We start from the raw sequence: 20,820 nt of genomic DNA, 5'->3' as shown, positions 1-20,820 counted from the left end.
GGTCAGATAATTTTTTGTCATGGGACCTGCCCTGTGCCTTGCAGGAAGTTCAGCCACATCCCTGGGCTCTACTCTCTAGATAGCAGTAGCACCCCCACCATAGCCTTGTTGCAATTACCAAAATTGGTCTCTAGACATTGCCAAAGTTTCCCTTGTTGGGGAGGCAAAATCACCCTTGTTGAGACCCGCTGGTTTGGAGGCATCTCTGTGATAAGCCCTGTGTTTAGTATCTTCATTCAGTTTCTTGGAAAACACACTGGGGCTGAGGCCAGAGCCTGCAGCCCACTTCTGGTTATCACTTGCCCCGCTGACCAAGAGAGCTTGTCAGCGTCTGAGCCCAAGCCCAGCCTCCTTGGCTCACCCGCATGTCTGTCTACCAGTCTAGGAAACTTGCGAAGCCAGAGAGCCTGCTGGGATTTTAGCTGACTGCTGATTTCCTCTTAACTCTGTTTGTCTTCACCTTTTATGTTTTAAATCGTTTGCTTTGATGGGAAAGACAGGAGTAAGACGGGAGTTGAATAGTTCAGTTTTTTCTCCATCACCCGTGAACAGCACACTCCGCTCCAAGCGCCAGTGTGTCCCTTTCTCCCTCTCTGTTTTGTTTGGGGCATACTTTAACAAAGCTCTTTCTATTGTCCTTGGGATATCTGCAAGCTGCAGCGCATTCTGGGGCTTGGTCTCCCCAGCATCTTGCAGGCTGGGGCAGGGGGCCTTTGTTCTCTGTCTGGCTCATGACTACTCCCTCTGCCCTTTGTCCTTTAAACACCTGTCCTGGGAAGTCACTGTATTTCTGTGGTTACCTCTGACGAATGAATTATTTGTCTATTCTCAGACTTTTAACAAGTCCCCTCTCCTTCTTGAGTCATCTTCCTTTTTCTAGAGTTTCCAGTTCTGCCTTTCTTGAAATCTACTTCCTAAAGTTTATATACAACAATTGTTTGAATATTAAATATTTACACACTAGTGGTGTATGCAAGCATAGATGGTTTGACTATAAAGCCTATCCAATTATTCACTGTACTACTATGTCTCCAGGTTCCTAGAATTTACTTTTGTAGCTATTGCATTGTCTTAGTTTGAGTCCCACCAGACATAAAACCTGAGAGAAGGATGTAAGTGCAAATAGTTTTTTAAGAAAGGAAATGGTTGAAGGAGTGGAGACGAGAGACAAGAAGGAAATGAAGTGCATACAGCATGTGTTATCATGCGAGTTACTGCTGTGTGTGTGTCATGCAAGTTACTGCTGTGTGTGTCATGCAAGTTACTGCCGTGTGTGTTATCATGTGAGTTACTGCTGTGTGTGTCATGCAAGTTACTGCTGGGTGTGTATCATGTGAGTTACTGCTGTGTGTGTGTCATGCAAGTTATTGCTGTGTGTGTGTATCATGCGAGTTACTGCTGCGTGTGTTATCATGTGAGTTACTGCTGTGTGTGTATCATGCAAGTTACTGCTGTGTGTGTATGTCATGCAAGTTACTGCTGTGTGTGTATGTCATGCAAGTTACTGCTGTGTGTGTATCATGCAAATTACTGCTGTGTGTGTTATCATGCAAGTTACTGCTGCGTGTGTGCAAGTTACTGCTGTGTGTGTATCACGCAAGTTACCGCTGTGTGTGTGCAAGTTACTGCTTGCTGTGTGTGTGTTATCATGCAAGTTACTGCTGTAGGCAATGAAAGCTTAACCTGCTGGGGACCCCTGGGAGATCCTGTAGAGCACACTGCAGAGTTGTCTGACAAAGGAAAAGGAAGCTGGGGGGCTGGGGTACTGATTCACCAAACTTCGATCCCTAGATGACTGTGGGCAGCTTCTGGAGGCATTAAATCTGACTTTTCCAGGTGGCCCTGCCCATACCTAATGTGCAAGGTCTCAGGTGTCCAAAATAGAAGGGGCGAGCGGCAGCTCTGGACACATACCTAGTCCACAAACACATTCTGAGTGTATGGTTATGTTTTCTCAATTTCCTTTCTTTGCCATTTCAACAGCCAGTTCTTTGTTGACCACAATTAAGTCTGTGGAAGCAGTTGTTCTTGTTCCCCTACTTTCTGAGAGATTAAGTTGTCAACAAAGATAGGACTCTGCATTTGGCAGGATGGGACTCCCTGCCCCAGGTCCGGAGACTCTCATTGTTGTGTGCCTGCTTCTGTGCACACCTGGCAATGTTTGTGAGCAGTTTCACCAGCTCTTTACTTTGTCCTGGGACAAGGTGGGGAGGGGAGTTTATGCTAAACTTGGTAATTTTGCTGCTCCCTGCTGAGCACTTTAGAGAGACCAGAGAAACATTTGGGGCTCCTTCTTGGGAGCACAGGCAGGGAAATGCACACCTCCGGATAGGCAGCCCCGAGCCCCATCACAGCTTCACTCCTCAGGCGTTCCCCTGTGCCTCCACCCCAACAAAGGTCCCTTTCCCATGGCCAGCACTGGTGTCCCCAGTTTGGGAAAGCTCGTAGGTCCCTATGTGGACACCTGCTATTTTTCTTTGAAGAGCTAAATGTCCTCCCCCTTTTCCACCTGTCCTCTACAGGCAGGTAAATAACTGCCTCACTCACTCCAAACCAGGATGCCCTGTCCCTGGCCACAGGGACTAGTTAAGGGTGTGAACATCCAAGCAAGGCCAGTTGGAGTTCTTTTCTGAATGGACATGCAAATATTGGCAGAGAAAAATGCCCCTTTCCCCGGAGTTGCTAAGAGCTAACTAGAAATACCTACCCTGGATAAATACTGGCCGCAAACCTCTTTCCACTCCTTAGACCTTGTTTTCTCACCTTTAAAAACAGAGACACAACTGTAGGTGTCCATTGCAGTGGAGTTTGTGGAGCGAGCTGTAACCCGGGCCCCTGTCCCTGCAGCAGTGGGCAGTAAACCACAGTGGACGCAGCAGTTAGAAGTGTTTAAAAGCAGTGGACCAGATGTTCACATAGAAACATAAATGAATATTAAAACCATAGACCCGAGGGCCCACAGAATAAAATGAAATATAAATGGAGGTAGTTGGCCAGGATGGTTTCCAAGTTCCCTTTCAATCGTGGGCAGAGCGGCTCACAGAGGTTAGAAATATGAGCTTTGTGATCTTTTCTCGTTGGTGGTGGGCTGCTTCCATAGGCATTCACTCTCTGACTCTCGCAGACTTCCCTGCCTGGGCCTTGTGCAAAGTGTCAGGTGTTCATGGTGGACAGGAGACAGGACTTGGTTTCAAACCCCACGTTTACCACTTCCTAATTCTGGAGACCTTGGGTAAGCTGCTTAACCTCTCTGAGCCTCAGTTTCTTAGCCTGAAAACTGAGGCTAATAATCCTCATAAAGTGCATTGCCAGGGCATGGACCCTAGTAAGAACTGGGAGAAATGACAGGCAGTTCTCTGGCACTGTGGGTTGGCAGCATTCTTCTGGGGCAGGGGAAAGATGGACTGTGCATTTCACCCCATAACACGAAATGTTGAGGTCTGTACCATGTTCAGGGAAAATCCCAGTAGACAGTGGAATCTGGGTATTATTTTAAGGGATGTGACGCCTTCCACAGCCTGTCCACCAGTGCAGGGCATCCTCCAAGCCTCCATTGTCCTGGGCTGCCAGGTGAAGCACTCATTGTGCCCTGTGGACGGGACTGTCTGTGGGCCAGGCCTGTTTTCCAGAGCAGCTTTCTGGCCCTGGAGTGTGCCCCTCTCCTGAGGCCTGTCTACCTAATGCAGGACTAGGCTGCAGCCCTCTCTTCCCTTCCTCATTCCTCCTTCAGCTCTCAGTTCAGCAGCCTGGCACAGAGAACAGGTGGCGGATCCCCTGCTATGCACTGAGCAGCGGCTCTGCAGGGTGCTGTGCTCTGGGCCCCGAGGTGCAGTGAACCTGGGCCCGCCCTGTGAGGCCCACGACCTGATGGATGGGAGACAGACATCACTGGCACCTGTGCCCTATGTGCAGAGAGCCGGGATGGGGAAACGGAGGTGCGGTGGGCCTGTGAGGGATGTGGTGGGCTCCGGGGCTGACTGGGGCAGGCTCCCAGGGCAAAGGGTTAGCAGAAGAGTAGGCTGGATGAAGAGTGGGATGTGGGGTGCTGACAGAGGCAGGGAGGGGACCACAGGACAGAGCACACAGGCACTCAGAACAGCTTGTGTGGCAGCTCAGAGACAGAGATCTCTGGAAGCCTCCGAGGGTCAGGGTTGAATGTGAAGGGAGCTGCGGCTGGAGTCATGTGCCAGGACCAGGAAGCCATGTGGAGAAGCCGGGGTTTGGCCTTGAGGTGATGGGGATCAGGGAAGGGCTTTAAACAGGAAAGCTTCGGGGGCATGTTTCTGTCTTCTAAGGAAGGCTGGGGCTGCTGCAGAAGCACTGGTTTTGAAGGGGAAAGGGCGGAAGCGAGGACATGGGGTCAGGAGGCTGCTTCAGGGCTAGGGCAGGGAGGAGGGAGAGGGCTCGGGGGGAAAGGAGAGGGTACAGGGACATCGTGGGGTGCTGAGGAGGTCGGTGGGGCCTGGAAGGATGGGAGGAGGCGTCAGGGGAAATCTATGGCATTTTCTGGGTTGGCAGCGGTATGGATGGGAACTGAGGGAGCTGTGGGGCTGGGGAGGAAGGTAGCTTCTTGAAGGCAAGTGTGGTAGAAGGTTGGGTGGACATTGTGAGGGCCGCCTGCAGCGCTGTCAGATGCAGGGAGGGTTGTGGGCAGGCAGCCTTCAGGGACTGCCTCAGCCAAGGTCATGCCCCTTTCCAGGGTGCCTACATCCTTGGTGCAGGCATACGAGGTCCTGACCACCTTGGCCCACCTTGGGACAGATCTGACGGACCATTGAAGCTTCACTGCTCCTGCGGCATCCACCGAGGCTCTCTGTGAACCTGATGACAGCTCCATCTCTCTCCCTGTCCACTCCTTCCTTCCAGAGCTCTCCCTTCCACGGGCGTTCGTCCCAAAGACACTCTTTAGCAAAAATCCTGCTCACCAAGCTCCATCTCAGAATCGGCTTCTGACTGGCCCCAGTGAATCACAGCCTATGTCCACCCCTTCACAGTAACTGTGCTTTCCTCCCTTCCAGAGGGGCAGCCTATTTCTCCCCACCTTGAATCTGAGCTGGCTTCGTGACTTGCTTTGACCAAGACAACGTGTAGAAGTGACGGTTGGGACTTCTGAGCCCGAGTTTAAGTGGACTTGCAGTTTCACCTTCACTCTGGGAACCCAGCGCCATGTAAACAAGTCCAGGCTGTCCTGCTGGAGGGAGATGATATGGAGGAGAACTGCGGCAGCCCAGTAGATAGCCAGCACCATGGCCCCAGGCAAGCAAGAGAGGAAGAGAGGCCCTTGTGGCTCTTTCAGCCTTGGTTGGGCTGCCGTGGCCAACACAACTGGAGCAGAGATAAGCTATCTCTGCTGAGACACACAAATTCTGACCCAGAGAATTGCGAGTAATAAAATGACTGTTGTTTGAAAGCCCTAAGTTTTGGGGTGGTTTGTGATTCAGCGATAGATAACTGAAACAGCATGGCTGCACCAGCAGGAACGTGCCAGGCTCGTGATCATGCAGGGTGGCTACCCATCCATTGCAAAACCTCACAGTGGGTGGCCTTCCTGCTAGCGACCACAGGGTTAAGTGCAGCTATGCCTCCTACCACTAACCCCCAGGATGAGGTTCTGTTTTTCCATCCCTGAGACCATCAATGCTCATCTCATTTCCACTCTTGGAACAGGGACATGCCAGCACTATTACCTCTTAAGCTCTCTGTGTCTGTAGAGAGAAGCAACTCACTGCCAAAGGAGCAAATGAGGCCCAGCTTTCTGCAGCAACATCCATCGTCCTGTGCTGCTCCAGGCAGAATCCCAGCGTATAATTCCCTTCTGCGGGAGCTGGCTCAGAGTGCATCCATCTTCACAAGCTCATTATTCATCTGATTATTTTCATGCCGTCCCAGTGGGGAATAAAAGCCATCAATAAATCACAACGATGCTGCAGATTATACTAAATGACCTGGGCAGAGAGCTGGCTGTGCCAGTTGCTGTGACCACAAAAGCCAGAGCTGCTCGTGTGCGGCGCTCCTCCAGGGCTGAAAAAATGTGCATCCTGTTCTCGCCCTGACACCAGTCCACCTCCTCACTTGCCCTCAGTATCCTCATTTGCCCTAGTGTAATTAAAATCCATGAGCACGGGAGCCCCAGCCTTGCCAGAAGACCTGAGTTCAGCCTCTGCATCGGCTGTGTGATATGGGGTTGGCTGCTTAGCCTCTCTTAAGCTTTGGGCTCCTCTTTGTGAAATGGCCAGAAATCATTGCTGTGAGAGCTCAGTGAGAAAATAAATGTGCTATTTGCACATTGCAAAGTGCCGTATATGTGTGAGGGTGGCATCTTGATGGCCATCATTTCAGAGTGACCAGAACATGTCGAGGGTTCCCGAGGAGAAATGGATTGGACTAGACACTGAGGTGCCGTGAGCAATCATCACATGATTTCTTGACTTCAGTTTCCTCACATTTCCAAATGGACCCAGTAGTATTTGGCCCATCAGTTTCATAGCGCAATTGTAAGGCTCAAATCAAATAACAGCGAGAGGAGCCCTTTGGCAAAGCATCAAGTTGTAGAAATGGAAGATGTTTACTGGGTCATTCCTTCTCTAAACGCTGTTGTTTTTGTCTTGTTTGTTTTGTTTCTGCCAATCTTCCTGTTTCTTTGGTTTTCAGTATTATTGAGAGTCTTCCCTGAGACTTCCTAAAATAATCAAGGAAATTTGGGCTAGTTTTTTGGAAGAAAAAAAATTTGCCATTATCAGAGGCCAGGCATGGTGGCTTGCGCCTGTAGTCCCAGCACTTTGGGAGGCCGAGGTGGGCAGATCACTTGAGGCCAGGAGTTCGAGACCAGCCTGGGCAACATAGTGAAACACCGTCTCTACTAAAAATACAAAAGTTAGCTGGGCGTGGTGACTGGAACCTATAATCCCAGCTACTTGGAAGGCTGAGGCAGGAGAATCACCTGAACCTGGGAGGCGGAAGTTGCAGTGAGCAGAGATCATGCCACTACACTCCAGCCTGAGTGACAGAGTGAGACTCTGTCTCAAAAAAATAGTTACCATTATCAAGTACTCACCACATTTCAGTCTTGCCAGTATGTCACCCACTTACCAGCCCTTGAAGACGGTCATTGTTTGTCTCTGTTTCCACAAGGGAGGGAACTGGGACTTTGAACAACCACCGTCTGCCTAAAGTCACAAAGCTGGGATTTGGGTTCAGTTCTGTCCTATTACACCACACTGGAGACTGAAAACCTCTATTTTTCTTTTTTATAAATTTGCATAAATTTAAGGGGTACAAGTGTAGTGTTTCTACATGGGTATATAGCATGGTGGTAAAGTCTGGGCTTGGAGTGCAACCATCACCCAAATAATGTACATTGTACACTTTAAGGAATTTTTTATCCCTCACTCCCTTCCACCCTCCCACCCTTCTGAGTCTCCAGTGCCTATTATTCCACACTCTATGTTCCTGTGTACACATTATTTACCTCCTACTTATAAGTGAGAACATATGGTATTTGACTTTCTGTTTCTGAATTGTTTCATTTAAGATAATGGCCCCCAGTTCCATCCATTGTTGCTGCAAAAGACATGTTTTCATTCTTTTTTTTTTTTAATAGTGGAATAGTATTCCATTGTGTAAATATGCCACATTTTCTGTATCCAGTCATCTCTTGATGGACACGTAGGTTGATTTCATATCTTTGCTATTGTGACTAGTGCTATGATAAATACATGAGGGCAGGTTTCTTTTTCTTTTCTTTTTCTTTTTCTTTTTTTTTTTTTTTGAGACAGAGTCTTGCTCTGTCGCCCAGGCTGGAGTTCATCGGCGTGATCTCGGCTCACTGCAACCTCTGCCTCTCGGGTTCAAGCAATTCTCCTGTCTCAGCCTCCTGAGTAGCTGGGACTACAGGCGCCCGTCACCATGCCTGGCTAATTTTTGTATTTTTAGCAGAGATGGGATTTCTCCGTATTGGTCAGGCTGGTCTTGAACCCTTGTCCTCAGGTGATCCATCCATCTGGTTTCTTTTTGATATAATGCTTTCTTTTCCTTTGGGATCACTTCAGGAAGAGAACTGATTGGCATATCTATTGGATTCAAGGGAGCCAGCAGAATAGTTCCCTTATTAATGATGAACCTGATATTTGGGTTTAATAATCTATCAGACTTTGATAATTATACCCACCCAAAAGTATTAGCTTGTGAATTTTTGTTCTTGGAGGAGCATAACAGAACGTGTGCTTCTTTGGGGCAACCTGTTCCAGAGAGAGAGGACAGAAGAAGCTGAAGTGCACATTCCCAGTTCCTCTTTTCTAACTCACCAGTTGGAGTGAGGCCAGAAGTGTTACAAAGAATGGTGCCCCTCCACATAGAATGATAAACGAGTGAGAATAATCTTTCCCTCCTAACAATGACATCGGGGTTTGAGGAAAACTGTAGGACTAGATAGAGCATTGTAGAAGTTCTAGAAAATAGTATATCTAATTGTTGAAAAGGAATGCAGTCCAAAATTAGTTTTTTAGGTTGATAAAACAGAGACTAAGGAATGGAAGAAGAAGAGGAAGAAGTGAGATTTCTCCTTCCTCAGCAATTAATGTCAAAGACATTCTTATAAACTAAATAGGCAATGAAGAACAATTGTGAAAAAGGACCTCAATTTGAGCATCTCTTGGAAATTCTTGTAAAAAGAATGCCTAACTTGATTTTGAAGTTTGTTCTAGGACAGGGAGAAAATATCTTTGGCTCAAACTTCATTTGACTCATGTTTTAAGGAAAGAGCCAATCTATCCCAGGCAGAAAAATTCCACCAAAAGATTTATGACTTAACTTTTATGTTAAACAATTGGTTTTGTCTGACACATGTTTGAAAAGCATATATAGTGACTTCTGATAATGAATGACTTGATCATTTGGATTAATTCTCCCCATTAGCACAATAAGGAAAACCAGACAAAATATTTTTTTAAAAGATCTACATGTAGGCTGTAGTGAGCTGATATGATAAAGAAGCATATTGGAGGATGACAGAAACCCAGAGAGGTAAATTCAAAATTTGGGCTTTTTGGAGCATGTTCTCTGACCAAAATTGAATTAAATGAGAACCAACAACTATGACATCTATGAAAAACGCACATTTTGGAGATTCAACAATACGGTTTTCTATAACCCATAGGTCAAAGAAGAAATTACCCCAAATTAAAAAATATTTTAGGCCAGGCACGGTGGCTCATGCCTGTAATCCCAGCACTTTGGGAGGCCGAGGCGGGTGGATCACCTGAGGTCAGGAGTTCAAGACCAGCCTGGCCAACATGGTGAAACCCCATCTCTACTAAAAATACAAAAATTAGCCAGGCCTGGTGGCACGTGCCTGTAGTCCCAGCTACTCGGGAGGCTGATGCAGGAGAACTGCTTGAATCCAGGAGGCGGAGGTTGCAGTGAGCCGAGATCGTGCCACTGCACTCCAGCCTGGGTGACAGAGTGAGACTGCATCTGAAAATAATAATAATAATAACAATAATAAAAATCTCAGACATTAGGATAATGAAAATAACAACATCTAAATCTGTGAGATTTGGCTAAATCAGTGTTTAGAGGAAAATGATTTACATCCTTTTATTAGGTGTGCTGGCTTACACCTGTAATCCCAGCACTTTGGGGGGCCGAGGCAGGTAGATCACGAGGTCAGGAGATCGAGACCATCCTGGCCAACATGGTGAAACCCCGTCTCTACTAAAAATACAAATTGGCTGGGCGTGGTGGTGTGCGCCTGTAGTCCCAGCTACTCGGGAGGCTGAGGCAAGAGAATTGCTTGAACCCGAGAGGCGGCGGTTGCAGTGAGCCGAGATCGCACCACTGCATTCCAGCCTGGCAACACAGTGAGACTCCATCGCAAAAAAAGAAAAGAAAAAAGTGTTGAAAAATCAATGCCCAAAGAGCTAAGAGAAAACAAACAAACAAAAAAGAGCAATGTAAACCAAAAATAAGTGGAAGGAAAAAACAATAAAGACAAAAGCAAAAATCAGTAGAGAAGAGATCAGGTAATATAAACAATTAACAAGGCCAAAGTTGTTTCCTTGAAAAGATGAATGAAATTGGTAAATCCCTGGTTAGACTGGTCATAGAGGGGAGACAAAGGACCCACACCAGGAATAAATGAAAATTAATTAATTAATACAGATACAGATATTAAAAAGATAGAAGGGCATATTATAAATAGCTGTATACCAACAAATTCAACACTATAGACAAAATTGAAAATATAATTCATGAGAACTGACATAAGATGAAACAGAAACTCTGAGTAGCCTATATCTATTAAATAATTTAATTTTTTTTTTTAAACAACTTCCTGCTTTGGGGGGCTGAGGTGAGATCACTTGAGGCAAGGAGTTTGAGACCAGACTGAGTAACATTGCAAGACCACATCTCTACAAAAATTTAAAAAAATTAGCCAAGCATGGTGGTACACACTTATGGTCCTAGGTACTCAGGAAGTGAGGTGGGAAGATTGAGCCTAAGAGTTCAAGGCTGCAGTGATCATGCCACTGTACTCCAACCTGGGTGACAGAACAAGACTTTGTCTCTTAAGAACAACAACAACAAAACACACACACACAAAACTCTTCACAAAGAAAATTCCAGCCTCAAATAGCTTTATTGGTAAATTCTATAAAAATTCAAGGATAAAATAAAATAATACCAATTTTACATAAAATCCTTAAGAAAATAAATAAAGTAGGACAATTATTTAATTATCTGAGGTTAGCATAACTCTAATACCAAAATCTGTGAAAGATATTCCAAAGATAAAATAAAATAAAATTTCAGACCAATATTCCTCATGAACATAGACATAAAATTCCTAAAAAAAGTTTTAGCAAATTGAATCCAACAGTATATAAAAAGGATAATATACCATGAGCACATGGGATTTATCCTAGAAATGCAAGGTTGGCTTAATGTTTGAAAATCAATCAATGTAATTCACCATATTAACAACATAAAGAAAGGAGAAAAACAATATGATAATTTTGATAGATGTGGAAAATGCAAGTGAAAACATTTAAAATCCATTAATAATAAAATCTCTCAGTAAAGTAGGAAAAAAGAGATCCTCCTCACATTTCTATAGGTCATCTATATGAAAAACCTGCAATTAACACCATGGTTGATTTGATAGTGAAATAGTGAATGCTTTACCTCTCAGCCTGAGCACAAGGTAAGGATGTAACTCTCACTGCTACTATTTAACATTGTATTAGAGGTTATAGCCATTGCAATAAGACAAGGACAATAAATAAAAGGTATACAGATTGAAAAATAGAAGTAAAACTGCCTGTGTTTGCAGGTAATATGACTGTTTATGTAGAAAACTCCAAGGAATTTATGAAAGAGCTATTAGAAATAAAAAACAAATTTAGCAAACCTGTAGGATACAAGTATAATATACAAAAATTAATAGTTATTTTATACTAGCAGCAAACCAGTGGAAAATATCCTAAAAACATTCATTTAATACAATGTCAAAAACATAAAACTTAGGATTAAATACAAGAGATATGTACAGTAAAAATTCAAGAACTTTGCTGAGAGAAATTAAAGATCTAAATAAATAGGCATATATACCATGTTCATGGATCATAAGACTCAACATTGCTACGATGTCAATTCTCTCCAAAATGGGATGTTTAATATATGAAGCAATGTAAATCCAAGCAAGCTTTCAAACCAGACACTGACAATTGATTTTTAAAATTTGAAATGACAAAGAACCATAAATAACAAATACAATTTTTTTCATTAACTTTTATTTTAAGTTCCAGGGTACATGTGCAGGATGTGCAGGTTCATTACACAGGTAAACATTTTTAAAAGAAGAAAAATGTTGGAGGACTTAAACTCTCTGATTTCAAGACTTACTATCAGCTATAATAAACAAAACAGCATGGTATATAGACATATAGAGCAGTGGAACAGAAGAGAGTTGAGAAGTGAACTCATATATATATATGAGTAATTGCTTTTTGAGAAAGTTGCCAAGATAATTCATTAGATAATGGGTAATCTTTTCAACAACTGATTTATTTATTTATATTATTATTATTATTATTATTATTATTATGCTTTAAGTTCTAGGGTACATGTGCACAACATGCAGATTTGTTACATATGTATACATGTGCCATCTTGGTGTGCTGCACCCAGTAACTCATCATTTACATTAGGTATTTCTCCTAATGTTATCCCTCCACCCTTCCCTCACCCCACAACAGGTCCTGGTGTGTAATGTTCCCCCCGTGTCCAAGTGTTCTCATTGTTCAGTTCCAACCTATGAGTGAGAACATGTGGTGTTTGGTTTTCTGTCCTTGTGATAGTTTGCTCAGAATGATGGTTTCCAGCTTCATCCATGTCCCTACAAAGGACATGCACTCATCCTTTTTTACGGCTGCATAGTATTCCATGGTATATATGTGCCACATTTTCTTAATCCAGTCTATCACTGATGGACATTTGTGTTGGTTCCAAGTCTTTGCTATTGTGAATAATGCTGCAATAAACATACGTGTGCATGTGTCTTTATAGCAGCATGATCTATAATCCTTTGGGTATATACCCAGTAATGGGATGGCTGGGTCAAATGGTATTTCTGGTTGTAGATCCTTGAGGAATCGCCACACTGACTTCCACAGTGGTTGAACTAATTTATACTCCCATCAACAGTGTAAAAGCATTCCTATTTCTCCACATCCTCTCTAGCACCTGTTGTTTCCTGACTTTTTAATGATCACCATTCTAACTGGTGGAGATGGTATCTCATTGTGGTTTTGATTTGCATTTCTCTGATGGGCAGTGATGATGAGCATTTTTTCATGTGTCTGTTGGCTGCATAAATGTCTTCTTGTGAGAAGTATTTGTTCATATCCTTCACCCACTTTTTGATGGGGTTGTTTGATTTTGTCTTGTAAATTTGTTTAAGTTCTTTGTAGATTCTGGATATTAGCCCTTTGTCAGATGGGTAGATTGCAAAAATTTTCTCCCATTTTGTAGATTGCCTGTTCACTCTGATGATAGTTTCTTTTGCTGTGCAGAAGCTCTTTAGTTTAATTAGATCCCATTTGTCTATTTTGGCTTCTGTTGCCATTGCTTTTGGTGTTTTAGTCATGAAGTCCTTGCCCATGCCTATGTCCTGAATGTAATTGCCTAGGTTTTCTTCTAGGGTTTTTATGGTTTTAGGTATAACATTTAGGTCTTTAATCCATCTTGAATTAATTTTTGTATAAGGTGTAAGGAAGGGGTCCAGTTTCAGTTTTCTGCATATGGCTAGCCAGTTTTCCCAATACCATTTATTAAATAGGGAATCCTTTCCCCATTTCTTGTTTTTGTTAGGTTTGTCAAAGATCAGATGGTTGTAGATATGGGGTATTATTTCTGAGGGCTCTGTTCTGTTCCATTGGTCTATATCTCTGTTTTGGTACCAGTACCATGCTGTTTTGGTTACTGTAGCCTTGTAGTATAGTTTGAAGTCAGGTAGCGTGATGCCTCCAGCTTTGTTCTTTTGACTTAGGATTGTCTTGGCAATGCAGGCTGTTTTTTGGTTCCATATGAACTTTAAAGTAGTTTTTTCCAATTCTGTGAAGAAAGTCATTGGTAGCTTGATGGTGATGGCATTGAATCTATAAATTACCTTGGGCAGTATGACCATTTTCACAATACTGATTCTTCCTATCCATGAGCATGGAATGTTCTTCCATTTGTTTGTATCCTCTTTTATTTCATTGAGCAGTGGTTTGTGGTTCTCCTTGAAGAGGTCCTTCACATCCCTTGTAAGTTGGATTCCTAGGTATTTTATTCTCTTTGAAGCAATTGTGAATGGGAGTTCACTCATGATTTGGCTCTCTGTTTGTCTGTTATTGGTGTAAAGGAATGCTTGTGATTTTTGCACATTGATTTTGTACCCTGAGACTTTGCTGAAGTTGCTTATCAGCTTAAGGAGATTTTGGGCTGAGACGATGGGGTTTTCTAAATATACCATCATGTCGTCTGCAAACAGGGACAATTTGACTTCCTCTTTTCCTAATTGAATACCCTTTATTTCTTTCTCCTGCCTGATTGCCCTGGTCAGAACTTCCAACACTATTCAACAACTGATTTATTTACTTATTGAGATGGAGTCTCCCTCTGTCGCCCAGGCTGGAGTGCAGTGGTGTGATCTCGACTCACTGCAACCTCCGCCTCCCAGGTTCAAGTGATTCTCCTGCCTCAGCCTCCCAAGTAGCTGGGATTACAGGCGTGCACCACCATGCCCCACTAATTTTTTTTTTTTTTTGTATTTTTACTAGAGACAGGGTTTCACTATGTTGGCCAGGCTGGTCTTGAACTCCTGACCTCAAGTAATCCACCTGCCTCGGCCTCCTAAAGTGCTGGGATTACAGGCATGAGCCACCACATCCAGCCTCAACAACTGATTTATATGTATGTCAGCACTCATCAAACTATATGCTTAAGACAGAAATGGGCTCATATTTAAAATACATTCACTTACTTTCAAAATATATTATGAATTATTCAAAATCAATGAAAAAAACAAAACAAACACCTAATGGAAAAATGAACAGGAAAAACTTCAAAATAGCTAATAAATATATGGAGATGTATGCAACCTCATTATCAGGGAAATGCAATTTAAGACACAAATGAGTGTCCACCTAGGCATCCACCAGACAGGATGGCTAAAATGAAAAGGTTGGTAATACTAATTGCGATGTTGATTGGAATGTAGACTGGTAAAAAGACATTTAAACAGTTAGATTTTTATCTACTAAACACAAAGACACACATACTCAATGACTCAGCAGTTCTGCCCTTAAATATATATACAACGAAAATGCATATATAGATGTACCGAGACATGTGCAAGAATGTTTAGGGCAGCATTATTCATAATAGTCCAAATGGACAACCCAAATGCTCATCAACAATAGAATGAAAAATTAAGTGTGAGTTATTCATACAAAGAAGTTCTCACAGCAAAGAAAATGAATAAGCTACAGATTCAAACAACAGCATGGATGAATCTTGCAAACATAAAGTTGAGTAAATAAAGCTAGACACAAAATAAGACATACTAAATAATATATATATTATAATATATGTAATGTATATTATATATTATAGTGTATGTAATGTATATTATATATTATATAGTATATGTAATGTATATTATATATTATATATTATAATATATATTATATAATATATAATTATTTATTTAATTAATTAATTATATAATTATATAATTAATTAATTAATTATATAATTAATTAGAATATATAATTAATATATAATATGTATTTATATATTATATATTATATAATATAATTATATATATTATATAATTATATAATATATAGTATATAATAATATAATAATATATAATAATATATGTAAGAATTTATATATTCTTAAAAAAAACAGGCAAAACTAAACTACAGTATTTATGAACTCGTGCCTCATTGATAATAACACTATAAAGAAAAAGAAGAAAGTAATTATTGTGAAAATCTTTGTATCAGTCAGTGTTCCATCAGGGAAGAGGAACCCTGTGAATATTGTAGAATGCAACATTCATTCTAACTAGAGGAAATAGACCCTATGCAGTTACGAGAGAAGCTGGGGAAGTATAGCTTCAAAAAAGAGTTCAAGGGTAGAGAAAAGCTACTAAACAACCACCTGAAGGTCTGTTTGTCGTGGAGTGAACACATCAGAGCTTTCTAGAAGATCCAGAAATCAGGCACGTGAGGCTGCTGGAGTAGGACTGTGAAGGGCTGGTGGAGGGAAGAAGTCAGTTGAAGACTAGAGCCTCTGCATAGCTACCACACCTGAGGATTGGCAGCCAAATATCCAGTGGTGAGCTGGGAAAACTGTTGGTTCAGCGTGGCCTGCCTCGGAAAGAAGAGCTGGATGTGCAGCATGGGAGGACAAGGACAGGGACACCTGTGTCTGTCTGTCACCACATCTAACTGTGACAGCCTTTATGACACAAAACTTGCTGTTCACTTCTGCCTTCCATCTTGCAAAGAAAATAAAAATTAGGTGGTGGGAGTGGGGTGGAGTAGGGAAGGAACAAATCTAGTTGAGTTATTTTACAAGTAACTCAGGAATTCCAGGAATCCTAATTCCATTTTAGCCAAGTTGACACAGTCCAGATCCCACAGTCAACAGGGTGGCTACATGTACAGAGAAGATTGATGCTAGCAACAAAGCACCCAGGGACTTCTGGAGGGCTGATGATGTCCTGTTTCTTGCCCTGGATGGTGACTACATGGATGCTCATGATGTAACTGCACATTTTTGTTTGTGAACTTGATGTATATAATATTAAAAAATAAAACTGTAAAAAAGCAACTGGGATGTGTCTCTTCTCCATTCCATCTTCTACTGTGAAGCAACTAGGGCATTCTGTGCTGATTCCTTCTGCAGAGGAGATGATTGCGAAAATGTAAAGAAAAAACAACATCCCCCCACACCCCAACTTTTTACATTTCAAAACTTAAGCCCATCAGGTAATGGAAAAACCACACGACCACTATACTGTATTGACAAATGTCAATAGTGGACTTAGATTAAAGGAAAATCCAGACACAGACATTCCGTGGCTAAATCAAACAGTGTTTACTTATCTAAAGTAAACAGAAGGGGCCATGCAGTCAGGACACAGGCTGGAGAGAAGAGCAATGTTATTTGAGACAGGTAGAGGTGCACACGTGATTGGCTCATGCTTGTGCATGACAGTGTCCATGTGGGGCTCACATCAGACCTTTAGAAGCTTGACTGCTCCATTTGTGCCAGCTGCATGTGCTGAGGGTGAGTGTAGCTCTATTTACTAAAACTGGTGCTGTTGTCATTACCTACTTAATCTAGGAAGATACTTCCAGCTTTAAAACTGGTGCAGTCCTGCAGGCAGTTAGTGTAATTATATGTTGGGGACCACCTCACATAAGCCAGATGCCCCTCATCAATCTCAGGGTCTCATTACATGGAATATGAGAACATATTTCATACAGTCCACATTCCATTCTATTCAATCCACTGAAGCACAAAGACAATCCTCTTTTATCATCCTTTGCCTCCCCATGCCCAAACAGCCCAGTCTCCATGTATGGCTAAACCCAGTGCTGTGGGCTAGAACCAAGCTTAGCTTCCCAGGTGTCTCTAGGAATCATGCTAATAGGCTCTTAGATCAGGAAGATGATATATTACAAAAGTACTTGCAACAGAGACTAATTATTTGGAAGAAAACATCATGGGTGATATGGTTTGGCTGTGTCCCCACCCAAGTCTCATCTTGAATTGTAGCTCTCATAATCCCCACATGTTGTGGGAGGGACCTGGTGGGAGGTAATTGAATCACGGGGGCAGTTACCCCCATGCTGTTCTCATAACAGTGAGTGAGTTCTCATGAGATCTGATGGTTTTACGAGGGGCTTTTCCCCTTTTGCTCAGCACTTCTCTCTCCTGCTGCCATGTGAAGGATATGTTTGCTTCCCCTTCTGCTGTAATTGTAAGTTTCCTGAGGCCTTCCCAGTTATGCAGAACTGTGAGTCAATTAAACCTCTTTCCTCTATAAATTACCCAGTCTCAGGTATTTCTTCATAGCAGTGTGAGAATGGACTAACAAGATGAGTAAAGAGCAAGATAGGTTGTCATCCAACCCTCCAGATTAGAATGTTCCCTCCCTGGGCTGTGGTTAGATGGAGAGAGTAGGGAGGCATGGTGTTATAAAGCTACTGTCTCCAGCTCCTAATAACTCTTCTGTGCTCAGCTCTGCAATGGTGAGGCTGTGACTTTGCAACCCAATTTCCTTGTTGCCAGCTGCTGCCTGTTAGGTCCTGATAATAGGGGATGCTAAAAGGAGACCAGACAACAGGAAGATGGAGAAGAGATGTTCCTTCCCCATGCTTGCTGTTCCTGTCACCGTTATCCCAGCAGTGGAGTTGGTTCCAGTTTCCTTCGTTTTGCTAAGTTCCCACGATCAGCCCATCTCACCCCATCAGTTACCAGCAGCATCCAGGTAGCACCCTCTCCTAAGAAGACCAAGTCCTAACTTAGACCTTCCCTCTGAGCTCTTGTGTTGCAGCCGCATTTAGCTCATGCCCCCTCCTGAGAGATCTAGGTCCCAGCTCTGTGAACCCCCTCCTCGAGTTTCTTGAGGTACCGATACCAGCAGGCCGTTACCCTTTTCTGAGAAGTCTTTGTCCTAGTTTTGTGAGGGCGTCCTCCAGGATTCTGGGTTCTCATAGCCCCAGCCCTTTCCCTCTGTTCCTCTAGTCCTAGGAGTGGTGGCTGTTTCCTGCAGTTACTACGTTTGCATGATAACAGGTGTTCCTTTTCTTCCTTTCAGTCCTTTGCTATCCATCCAGCCAATTCCCTATATTAAATCCCCTTGTTGACTGCTAACAGGTATGAGTTTTTTTGTAGGGGGTGAGGGTTGATGAAACTGTTTTGGAATTAGATAGTGGTGATGGCTTCACAACATTCTGAATATACTAAAACTCCCTTACATGGGTGAATTTCAGGGTATGTGAATTACGTCTGTAAAAATATAAATCTTCTGTGTTGGAATGCCTGACTGGATCCTGGTTGATATAGCATTCATCAAGGAGAGTGTGATGGTTAATTTTGTGTCAACTTGGCTGGGCCACAGTGTGCTCAGATACTTGGTCAAAGATTATCTTGAGTGTCTCTGTGAGGGTGTGTTGGATGAAATTCACATTTAAATTGACGGACTTTGAATAAAGCAGATTGCCCTCCATAGTGTTGGTGGGCCTTATTCCCAGCAGTTGAAGGCCTGAATAGAACAAAAATTCCCGTTTCCCCTGAGCAAGAGAAGATTCTCCAGCAGACTGCCTCTAGACTTGAACTGAAACATCAGCTCTCCTGGATCTCCAGCCCTCCCTGCTGATTGTGGACTTCTCAGCCTCCATAATTGTGTGAATGTGAGCCAGTTCTTTATAAGAAATCTCTTGGCCAGGCACGGTGGCTCACACTTGTAATCTCAGCACTTTGGGAGGCTGAGGTGGGTGGATCATGAGGTCAGGAGATTGAGACCATCCTGGCCAACATAGTGAAACCCTGTCTCTACTAAAAATACAAAAATTAGCTGGGTGTGGTGGTGCACACCTGTAATCCCAGCTACTCAGGAGGCTGAGGCAGGAGAATCACTTGAACCCAGGAGGCAGAGATTGCAGTGAGCCGAGATGGCGCCACTGCACTCCAGCCTGGTGACAGAGTGAGATTCCATCTCAAAAAAAGAAGAAATCATCTATCTATCTTTCTATTATCTATCTAGCTATCTATCTGTCTATCTATCTATCTATCTATCTATCTATCTATCTATCTATCTATCTATCTATCTGTCTATCTCCTATTGAGTCTGTTTCTCTGGAGAACCATGACTAATACAGACAGGTAGCTGTTGTTGGGTCCCAGGGAGAAGAGAATGAGCCCTGGTGAGGCCCTGACAGATTTGCGGGATCTGAGAATACGGGCACCTATGTCTGTGTTTCCTGGTAGGGCTTCAAGGGGTGGCAAGATCGTAGAGAACTGATGGCTTCAGTTGTATGGAGCATCTAGGCAGATGAGATCTCACAGCATTTCTCAATTCTTATGTCACAAGAACAGAATGATTGCCAGGAGCTTGAGAGTGGAACAGAAGTAGCAGAGAGACTTTTAAGGACCACTGACTGAGGACTAGATGGGACAATGGACAAGTTAGTGACACGCTTCGATGATATTGAGGACTTAAAAGATCACCCCTCCCATTGGAGCCTTGGTTCTCTGCAAGTCCTTTGTAAATTTCACCCCAGAGAAAGTAGGAAGAGTCCCTAAATTAACTGAAATGGTGTTTCTGCTACTCCAGCAGACTAGGGGCTCCTAAAAGAAATTCAATTCAGTTTTGGGATATGAAAAAAATTGTTCTTTCTTACATATCTGAACTTGTGAATTGAGATTCACAGCCACTTTAAAGTCTTGTTTTTATTTTTATTTTTTTATTTTTATTTTTATTTTTTGAGGCAGAGTTTTGCTCTTGTTGCCCAGGCTGGAGTGGAATGGCGCAATCTCGGCTCACTGCAACCTCCACCTCCTGGGTTCCAGTGATTCTCTTGCCTCTGCCTCCCGAGTAGCTGAGATTACAGGCATGCACCACCACGCCCGGCTAATTTTGTATTTTTAGTAGAGATGGGATTTCTCCATGTTGGTCAGGCTGGTCTTGAACTCCCAACCTCAGGTGATCCGCCCACCTTGGCCTCCCAAAGTGCTGTGATTACAGATGTGAGCCACTGTGCCTTGCAAGTACTTGCTTTTATTTACTTTCAGGAGAAACTTGGGGATTTTTGTGGTATGGCATGAAATGGATTTTCCGGAATAGAATCATCACGTGTAACTCTGCCACATAGAATTTAGGAGTCTGTGAGGCAGAAAGGTCAGGGCCAGCAGGGCAGCTGTGTATCTAGGTTATTACAATGGCTGGCCATGGGCAGAATGCCTGAAGATGTTAAAACAACCTAGAATTTATACAGATGAATAAAAGTTTCCCAATAGCTATTAAGTTTAAAAAATAAGAGCAAAAAGAGAAACACTGATGTGTCAGACAGAAAGATAGGAAAACACAAGGCAAAGCCACAGAAATGAAAATAGCCTGGTTCCTGCGCAGAAATGGGCAGATAGACACATGGAAAGAATGGGAAGTCCCAGAACAGGCCATATACGTGGGAATGTTAAGAGACTGCCACACGTAACTTGGGACAGAACAGATTGGTTATTAAATGGCATTGGAAA

At 43.0% G+C, this 20,820-nt stretch overlaps 1 long non-coding RNA gene across 1 annotated transcript, besides 3 other annotated features; it reads right to left on the bottom strand.

Moving 5' to 3' along the window:
* Positions 256 to 794: an enhancer, noted in NCBI's record as "OCT4-NANOG hESC enhancer chr15:70925493-70926031 (GRCh37/hg19 assembly coordinates)". NCBI's record gives its function as "activates a minimal SCP1, AML or CMV promoter by ChIP-STARR-seq in primed H9 embryonic stem cells {active_cell/tissue: H9 hESC(primed)}" and the evidence as "EXISTENCE:reporter gene assay evidence [ECO:0000049][PMID:30033119]".
* Positions 16,584 to 16,728: an enhancer, noted in NCBI's record as "145 bp enhancer 168 fragment used in the MPRA reporter construct; PK_construct_1254". NCBI's record gives its function as "activates an SV40 promoter by MPRA in HepG2 cells {active_cell/tissue: HepG2}" and the evidence as "EXISTENCE:reporter gene assay evidence [ECO:0000049][PMID:23512712]".
* Positions 16,651 to 16,662: a transcriptional cis regulatory region, noted in NCBI's record as "FOXA motif; enhancer activity is reduced when this motif is scrambled". NCBI's record gives its function as "necessary for full MPRA enhancer 168 activity {active_cell/tissue: HepG2}" and the evidence as "EXISTENCE:site-directed mutagenesis evidence [ECO:0005528][PMID:23512712]".
* On the bottom strand, positions 17,381 to 18,401 carry SALRNA3 (senescence associated long non-coding RNA 3). The gene has a single exon (NR_126481.1). It is a non-coding gene; the product is annotated as a senescence associated long non-coding RNA 3 (long non-coding RNA).
* Between the last annotated feature and the right edge of the window lie 2,419 nt (positions 18,402 to 20,820).

This window comes from Homo sapiens, chromosome 15 (assembly GCF_000001405.40).
Source record: "Homo sapiens chromosome 15, GRCh38.p14 Primary Assembly".
Classification (NCBI taxonomy): domain Eukaryota; kingdom Metazoa; phylum Chordata; class Mammalia; order Primates; family Hominidae; genus Homo; species Homo sapiens.
Note: the sequence above shows the minus strand (reverse complement) of the source record. Positions and strands in the feature narration are given on the sequence as shown.